Genomic DNA, 8,029 nt, shown 5'->3' with positions numbered 1-8,029 from the left:
TTAGCCAAAAGGGACTTTAACGAAAGGGGCCTCTAACACCCGAAATCTTAGAAGGGAGTCTAACCCTCCTAAGTCAGGCCTCTAACCCAAGGATGGTCAAGTGTCCTTGCCTTTTATAAAGAGGGGCCTCTAACCCACTCTGTCTTAGGAGAGGCTCTAATTCTTCTAAGTTTGGCCTCTGACCCAATCCCACTCTTTATCTGGGTACCCCACCACTTGCCCAAAGTCGTCCAATCAGTGCTGCAGTCTATTTCCTTTGGGATGGGAGTCTCCTCAGTATCATGCCTTCAGGGTTTACCAGAAAGATGTTACTAGACCCTACCACATACCCAAAGTTAGCCTTTGGGTTGGGGTTTTCCACAGTATAGTCCATTCTGTGTCAACAGAAAGATGTTACAGTACCCCACCACTTACCCAGGGTTTCCACACTAAATTCCCATCTGGGTCACCAGAAAGATGTTACAGGAAAGGGGTCCAGATCCAGACCCCAAAAGAGGGTCCTTGGATCTCCCACAAGAAAGAATTCAGGGCGAGTCCCTAAAGTGAAAGCAAGTTTATTAAGAAAGTAAAGGAATAAAATAATGGCTACTCCATAGACAGAGCAGCCCCAAGGGCTGCTGGTTGCCCATTTTTATGGTTATTTCCTTTTTAGACCATATAGGGTAACTTCCTGACATTGCCATGAAATCTGTAAACTGTCATGGTGTGTCCAGAATTGGTGGGTTCTTGGTCTCACTGACTTCAAGAATGAAGCCACGGACCCTCGCGGTGAGTGTTACAGTTCTTAAAGGCGGCGTGTCCGGAGTTTGTTCCTTCTAATGTTCGGATGTGTTCGGAGTTTCTTCCTTCTGGTGGATTCGTGGTCTTGCTGGCTCAGGAGTGAAGCTGCAGACCTTCCCAGTAAGTGTTACAGCTCTTAAGGCGGCGCGTCTGGAGTTGTTCATTCCTCCCGGTGGGCTCGTGGTCTCGCTGGCTTCAGGAGTGAAGCTGCAGACCTTCGAGGTGAGTGTTACAGCTCATAAAGGCAGTGTGGACCCAAAGAGTGAGCAGTAGCAAGATTTATTGCAAAGATCGAAAGAACAAAGCTTCCACAGTGTGGAAGGGGACCCCAGCAGGTTGCCACTGCTGGCTCAGGCAGCCTGCGTTTATTCTCTTATCTGGCCCCACCCACATCCTGCTGATTGGTAGAGCTCAGTGGTCTGTTTTGACAGGGCACTGATTGGTGCGTTTACAACCCCTGAGCTAGACACAAAAGTTCTCCACTTCACCACCAGATTAGCTAGATACAGAGTGTCAACTGGTGCATTCACAAACCCTGAGCTAGATGCAGGGTGCTGATTGGTGTGTTTACAAACCTTGAGCTAGATACAGAGTGCCAATTGGTGTATTTACAATCCCTGAGCTAGACATAAAGGTTCTCCAAGTCCCCACCAGACTCAGGAGCCCAGCTGGCTTCACCCAGTGGATGCCACACTGGGGCTGCAGGTGGAGCTGCCTGCCAGTCCCGCGTGGTGCGCCTGCACTCCTCAGCCCTTGGGTGGTCGATGGGACTGGGCGCCGTGGAGCAGGGGGCGGCGCTCATCAGGGAGGCTGGGGCCGCACAGGATCCCACGGAGTGGGTGGGAGCCTCAGGCATGGCGGGCTGCAGGTCCCCAGCCCTGCCCTGCGGGAAGGCAGCTAAGGCCCGGCGAGAAATCGAGCACAGCGCCTGTGGGCTGGCACTGCTGGGGGACCCAGTACACCCTCCGCAGACGCTGGCCTGGGTGCTAAGCCCCTCATTGCCCAGGGCCAGCAGGGCCGGCCGGCTGCTCCCAGTGAGGGGCCTGCCAAGCCCACGCCCACCTGGAACTCCAGCTGGCCCGCAAGCGCGCGTGCAGCCCCGCTTCCCGCTTGCGCCTCTCCCTCCACACCTCCATGCAAGCTGAGGGAGCCGGCTCCCGTCTTGGCCAGCCCAGAAAGGGGCTCCCACAGTGCAGCGGTGGGCTGAAGGGCTCCTCAAGTGCCGCCAAAGTGGGAGCCCAGGCAGAGGAGGCGCCGAGAGCGAGCGAGGGCTGTGAGGACTGCCAGCACACTATCACCTCTCAATGGCACTGGTGGGAGTGTAGCAGTGAGGATGACAAGAGGTCATTCTGGTTGCCATCTTGGTTTTGGTGGGTTTTAGCTGGCTTCTTTATTGCAATCCGTTTTGTCAGCAAGGTCTTTATGACCTGTATTTTGTGCCAGCCCCCTCTCATCCTGTGACTTAGAATACCTTAACCATCTGAGAGTGCAGCCCAGTAGATTTCAGCCTCATTTTACCCAGCACCTACTCAAGATGGAGTTGCTGTGGTTCACACACCTCTGACAGCTTGATTTATTTGTCTGCCTCTTTTATTAGCTTTTGCTCATGCACACAGTTGACTCTCCCATTTAAACCTTAGTACCGTGGTTCTCAAAGCAGGGTATGGGGATGGACACTCTTAGAGAGTCGGCTAGGTTAAAACTATTTTCATAATAATCCTAATGCAATATTTGCTCTTTTCACTTCGTTCTCTTGTGAGTGTAATGTAGGGGGAAAATACCGTTTTTATCCCCCCATAAAAATGTGTTACCACATAATGGTTTTATTATTGTTTTAAATTAGTTGATAGCTATTTTTAAAATTTCAGTTTTTATTTATAACATAGTAAATATTGATAGACAAAATCCAAATGAACAAAAGCTCTTTGGGGATCTTCAGTAGTTTTTATGGATATAAAGAGTTTTTGAGATTAAAAAAAAGTTTAAAAATCATTGCCCTTGTCTGTCTGCCAGGTATAAGAACTCCTGTTGACCACATTTGATACCACAGGATTAGACAATGAATTGGAGTTGGTCTTCTTTGAGTGATAACTTGTCTTGACTGCAAAAATCATCTATGTCAAGATAAACTATAGCTTTTGGCCAGAATGTCATTTAGAAATTCAGCAAATGTTAATACAGGATTCCTTTTTGTTTTTCTTGGTGATGTTTAATGGAAATAAACACAATCCTAGTAAAAGGAGAAGCATAAATATGGAAAAGATTTGGAAGAGTGTCCAGCGTAAGAGTAAGCCCTTAACACAGGTAGTGATTATTACTGTTTTATTATTACCCTATCACAGTCGCTATTCATTTATTTATTCAACAAGTATTTATTGAGTACTACATGCCAGGCTCAGTGGTCTGCATTGCGGATTCAGTGATGGGCAAAACACAAACAGTTCTGCCTTCAAGGACTTTATAGTCAAGTGGGAGAGGCAGTGGAATCAACACATTAAAAATTCTAATTACAAATTGTGTTAAGCAAACGAAGTGACAGAGGTATAAGTAGACCAAGATTTGATCTGATTTTCAGAGTCAGTAAAAGCTTCTCTGAATGGCCGGGCGCGGTGGCTCACGCCTGTAATCCCAGCACTTTGGGAGGCAGAGGCGGGCGGATCATGAGGTCAGGAGATCGAGACCATCCTGGCTAACACAGTGAAACCCCGCCTCTACTAAAAATACAAAAAATTAGCCGGGCGTGGTGGCGGGCGCCTGTAGTCCCAGCTACTCGGGAGGCTGAGGCAGGAGAATGGCGTGAACCCGGGAGGCGGAGCTTGCAGTGAGCCGAGATCGCGCCACTGCACTCCAGCCTGGGCGACAGAGCGAGACTCCGTCTCAAAAAAAAAAAAAAAAAAAAAAAAGCTTCTCTGAAGAAGTCCCAGTTGAGCTGCATTGAAAAATGTGTAGGAGGAATTAAGGAGACAAAGGAAAGAGTAGCACGCTGAGCATGTTTAAAGACCCTTCAGTAGAAAGAGAATGATGATGGGGCCAATGTGGCTGAAACCCAAAGACTCAGGGTTAGAGTGGTAACTGTTTAATGGCAAAAACCACAATTATGTTTGCACCAACCTAGCAGCAGTAGTAGTAGTAGTAGTAGGTTAGATCCCAAGCCATTTGGGGATTTTAAGGCTTTGCCAAGGATTTTAGACTTTTCTCACATCAGTGGGCAGCCATGGAAAGAAAGCTTTAGGAAAAGTGTGACAACCTTAGATTTGTATTTTCAAAAGATAGCTGGAGTGTAGTGGGGCAAGGCTGACAAACAGGGAGATTATTTACAGGGCCTCGGTAGTATCCAGGTGAATGATGGTGGGAGCCTGGAACAGGGTAATGGCAGTAGAGACCCAAAGGAGTGGATGAATTTGGGATGTATAATATTTTGGAAGTAGGGCCACAGGGCCTGGCGATTAATTGAAACCTTAACTAGCACAAGAACCGCACAAAGTCGAAGACTCTTCCCAGCAAGATCAGCTAATGGGTTATTGATAAGTTGCAAAACCTTCCCCATGCTCCCTTGGCAAAGATTCAAAAGCCCTGGTGATACTCAGGGCCGACAGATTACTCAGGCCGCACAAAGCCCGTGCACAAGGCCGTGCGAGTCTTGAGACCCAAGACTTTATTCCCTGGAGGTCAGCGGACTGGAAGCACAACGTTTCTTGGACAACGCCATTGTCACAGCTCCCTGCGGGGAAAGGATGACTAAAGACAACGGCAGGGAGAGAACGCCACAAGAGAGGGAAAGTCAGAGCGAAAACTGGCAACCCGTCTCGAGGCTCCCGCCATCACGGGTGATTTGAGGACTCAGCACGAGGCGAGAGGCGAGAGCATGGGCTGGGAAGAGCCACAAAACCCGCCTGTGATTAGCCCGGATGGGGGTATCGGTCGCTTGTGATTGGGTGACGCCGAGACATAGAGCTGCGTTTTGAACCACGTAGGGTTCTGGGTAGCAAAGGCCTTGCAAGGATCTTAACCGAAAGGGGGAGGGGGAAGGTCGCCAACAAACGGCTGAGCTCACAATCCGGGCCGGGGCGTCCCCCAACCTCCATGGAGAGAGCTAGGCTGGAGCCGCCGCCTCAGCCGCACCCTTTGAGTCCCGCTCCGTCCCTGCTGCCGGTCGAGGGCACCTCCTTTTGGGCAGCGGCCGTGAAGACCCCTCCGTCGCCGCCCATGCTGTGCGCGGCCGCCATTGCGACCGTGGCCTCCTCGTGTAGGGAGGGTTTGGTGCCGTGTGCGGCGCAGCAGCTGCTGGAGGTGAAGCTGGAGCAGGTGTTGCTGCTACCACAGCCCCACGTTCCTGGCAAGGGCGCCGCTTCCTCTCCCAGCGGCAGTTCAGGCCCGACCTGCGGCTCCTGCTGCCGCCCGCCTCTTCCGAGGGCGCCCCCTGTAGGCCCGAGTTACACCCGGTGCAGCCCCGGGCGCTGCACGTCAAGGCCAAGAAGTAGGAGCTAGGGGCTTGCCTGGACGCATCGGTGAGGCCTCGGGGGGCCGTGGAGACCGGTCGTAGAGCCTCCAGGGCGGTCAAGTTGGAAGGCCTCGGGCCGGCCCTCGACTACTTCCGAGGGAACGAGAAGGGCAAGCTGGAGGCGGAAGAGGTCATGAGGGACGCGATGCAGGGCGGGGAAGGCAAAAGCTCGGCGGCCATCCGAGAAGGTGTGATCAAAACGGAGGAACCCGAGAGACTCCTCGAGGACTGCAGGCTCGGCGCGGAGCCCGCGTCCAATGGCCCGGCTCGTGGCAGCGCGGAGGTCATCTTGGCCCCAACGTCCGGTGCCTTTGGGCCGCACCAGCAAGACCTCAGGATCCCTCTGGACTCTCCACACTGCTTCCCCTGGGGCCCGGATCCAGTTTCAGGAAGCTCCGCCTTCAGAGCTGATAAGATTGACCAAGGTCCCCCTGACACCAGTGCCTATTAAAATGCAGTCCCTACTGGAGCCTTCTGTAAAAATTGAAACCAAAGATGTCCCCTCACTGTGCTGCCCTCAGATGCAGGTATTAGACAGCAGGGGAGTCTGGTTTTCAAAACTGCGCCTGTGTTGCCCCATAGGGTATATCAGCAGTTCCCAAGTCTAAACTACAAAAGTGAAGTAATGGAACTGATTCTTTTCAGGGTAGCCTGCACAGGTATCACTTCTGATCGACTTGTACATATAGCAGTAAAATACACGAACGCCTTCAAAATTCTCAAGTATTTTTTTAAAAATCAATTTTAAGGCCTACTATTTAGATAGAACTAATTTTTGCGCACAAAAATAGAAGTATTCTTGATAGACATTTTCCTGATCCTCTAGCTAGAAATTGGGGCCTTTAGTCTCCCTGCTCTGTTATGTGGCTTCATGGCGACGGGTACTCTTGGGCCAAGTGACAGGATGAAGAGAGAAAAAAGGCAATCGAGATTTTCCTCTTCCACTTTTCAGAACGCAGATCCTTTGGTCAGATAAAAGGATTCTGCTCTGTCAGAGTTTTAGGTGCTTTTCTTGTCGCTACTGATACTGCTGCTACCAAAAAAAATTATTTTTTCTTTTTTTTTTTTTCTTGAGACGGAGTCTCACTCCGTCGCCAGGCTAGAGCGGCGCTCGGCTCACTGCAACCTCCAACTCCCTGATTCAAGCGATTCTCCTGCTTCAGCCTTCCGAGTAGCTGGGATTACAGGCACGTGCCTCCAAGCCCAGCTAATTTTTGTATTTTTAGTAGAGACGGAGTTTCACTGTGTTGGCCAGGATGGTCTCAATCTCCTGACCTCCTGATCTGCCTGCCTCGGCCTCCCAAAGTGCTGGGATTTCAGGTGTGAGCCACTGCACCTGGCCAAAAAACATTATTTTTTTCTAGAGACAGAGTCTCACTTTGTTCCCCAGGCTGGTCTCAAACCTCTGGCCTCAAGTGATCCTCCTGCTTCAGCCTCCCGAAGTGCTGGGATTACAGGCATGAGCAACCGCACCAGCCTTGTTAATATTTCAGAGTCCTCAGATGGCTGCTTCATGCATCCTGTCCAGGGCTTTTAGTTTCAGCCAGTGGGAGAGACAGACTATGCTTACTCTATCTTACTTAGAACTAGAACCCCAAGAAATTTATTTATTTACTTATTTATTTATTCATTTATTTTTTGAGACGGAGTTTCTCTCTTTTTGCCCAGGCTGGAGTGCAATGGCACAATCTTGGCTTACTGCAACCTCTGCCTCCTGGGTTCAAGCGATTCTCCCGCCTCAGCCTCCCGTGTGGCTGGGATTACAGGCACATGCCACCATGCCTGGCTAATTTTGTATTTTTAGTAGAGACAGGGTTTCGCCATGTTAGCCAGGCTAGTCTTGAAGTCCTGACATCAGGTGATCTGCCCGCCTCTGCCTCCCAAAGTGCTAGGATTACAGGCACGAGTCACCGTGCCTGGCTGAAAGTTATTTATTTATTTATTGATTTAGAGATGGTCTCACTCTCTTGTCCTGGCTAGAATCCTGTAGTGTGATCACCGCCCACCGCAGCCTCAACCTCTCAGGCTCAAGTGATCCTCCCACCTCAGCCTCCTGAGTAGCTGGAACTTAAAGGCACTGGCCACCATGCTTAGCTAATTATTATTTTTTATATCTTTTTACATTTTTTGTAGAGACAGGGTCTCACCATGTTGCCCAGACCGGTCTCAAATTCGTGGGCTCAAGTGCTCTGCCTGCCTTGGCCTTCCAAAGCGCTGGGATTATAGGCGTGACCCACCACGCCTGGTCAGAAATTTATTTTACATGCTGATTTGTAGAAAAGGGAAAACAAATATAGTCCAACCACAATATCCCCATCCTCCTAACCTAGTCAACATCTTAGTACTGTGATATATTTCCTTCCTCCTGAGCATTTTTTTCCATAGTTGAGAAAACATAATTTTCACTCCTTCTTTTCAAAGTTTTAATTACTTTTTTTCTTTTAGATTTTTATACAAAATAGAGATGGGGTTTTGCTATGTTGGCCAGACTCGTCTCGAGCTCCTGGGCTCAAGTGATCCTTCTGCCTTGGCCTCTGAATGTGCTGGGATTACAGGCCTGAGCCACTAGGCCCAGCCATTGCTCCTTGCTCCTTTTTAAATCTTTTTTTTTTTTTTTTTTGAGACAGAGTCTGGCTCTGTCCCCCACGCTGGAGTGCAGTGGCACTATCTCTGCTCACTGCAAGCTCTGCCTCCTGGGTTCACGCTATTCTCCTGCCTCAGCCTCCCGAGTAGCTGGGACTACAGGCG

General features: G+C 50.1%; 1 pseudogene, besides 1 other annotated feature; it reads left to right on the top strand.

Moving 5' to 3' along the window:
* Window positions 1,067-1,361: an enhancer, noted in NCBI's record as "tiled region #5199; HepG2 Activating non-DNase unmatched - State 18:Pol2, and K562 Activating DNase matched - State 9:DNaseU". NCBI's record gives its function as "activates a minimal TATA promoter and a strong SV40 promoter by Sharpr-MPRA in HepG2 and K562 cells {active_cell/tissue: HepG2 | K562}" and the evidence as "EXISTENCE:reporter gene assay evidence [ECO:0000049][PMID:27701403]".
* Window positions 4,488-5,816, top strand: SOX30P1 (SOX30 pseudogene 1; annotated as a pseudogene).

Source organism: Homo sapiens, chromosome 5 (genome assembly GCF_000001405.40).
Source record: "Homo sapiens chromosome 5, GRCh38.p14 Primary Assembly".
NCBI lineage: Eukaryota > Metazoa > Chordata > Mammalia > Primates > Hominidae > Homo > Homo sapiens.
The sequence above is the reverse complement of the archived record's forward strand: the minus strand, read 5'-3'. Positions and strand labels throughout refer to the sequence as shown.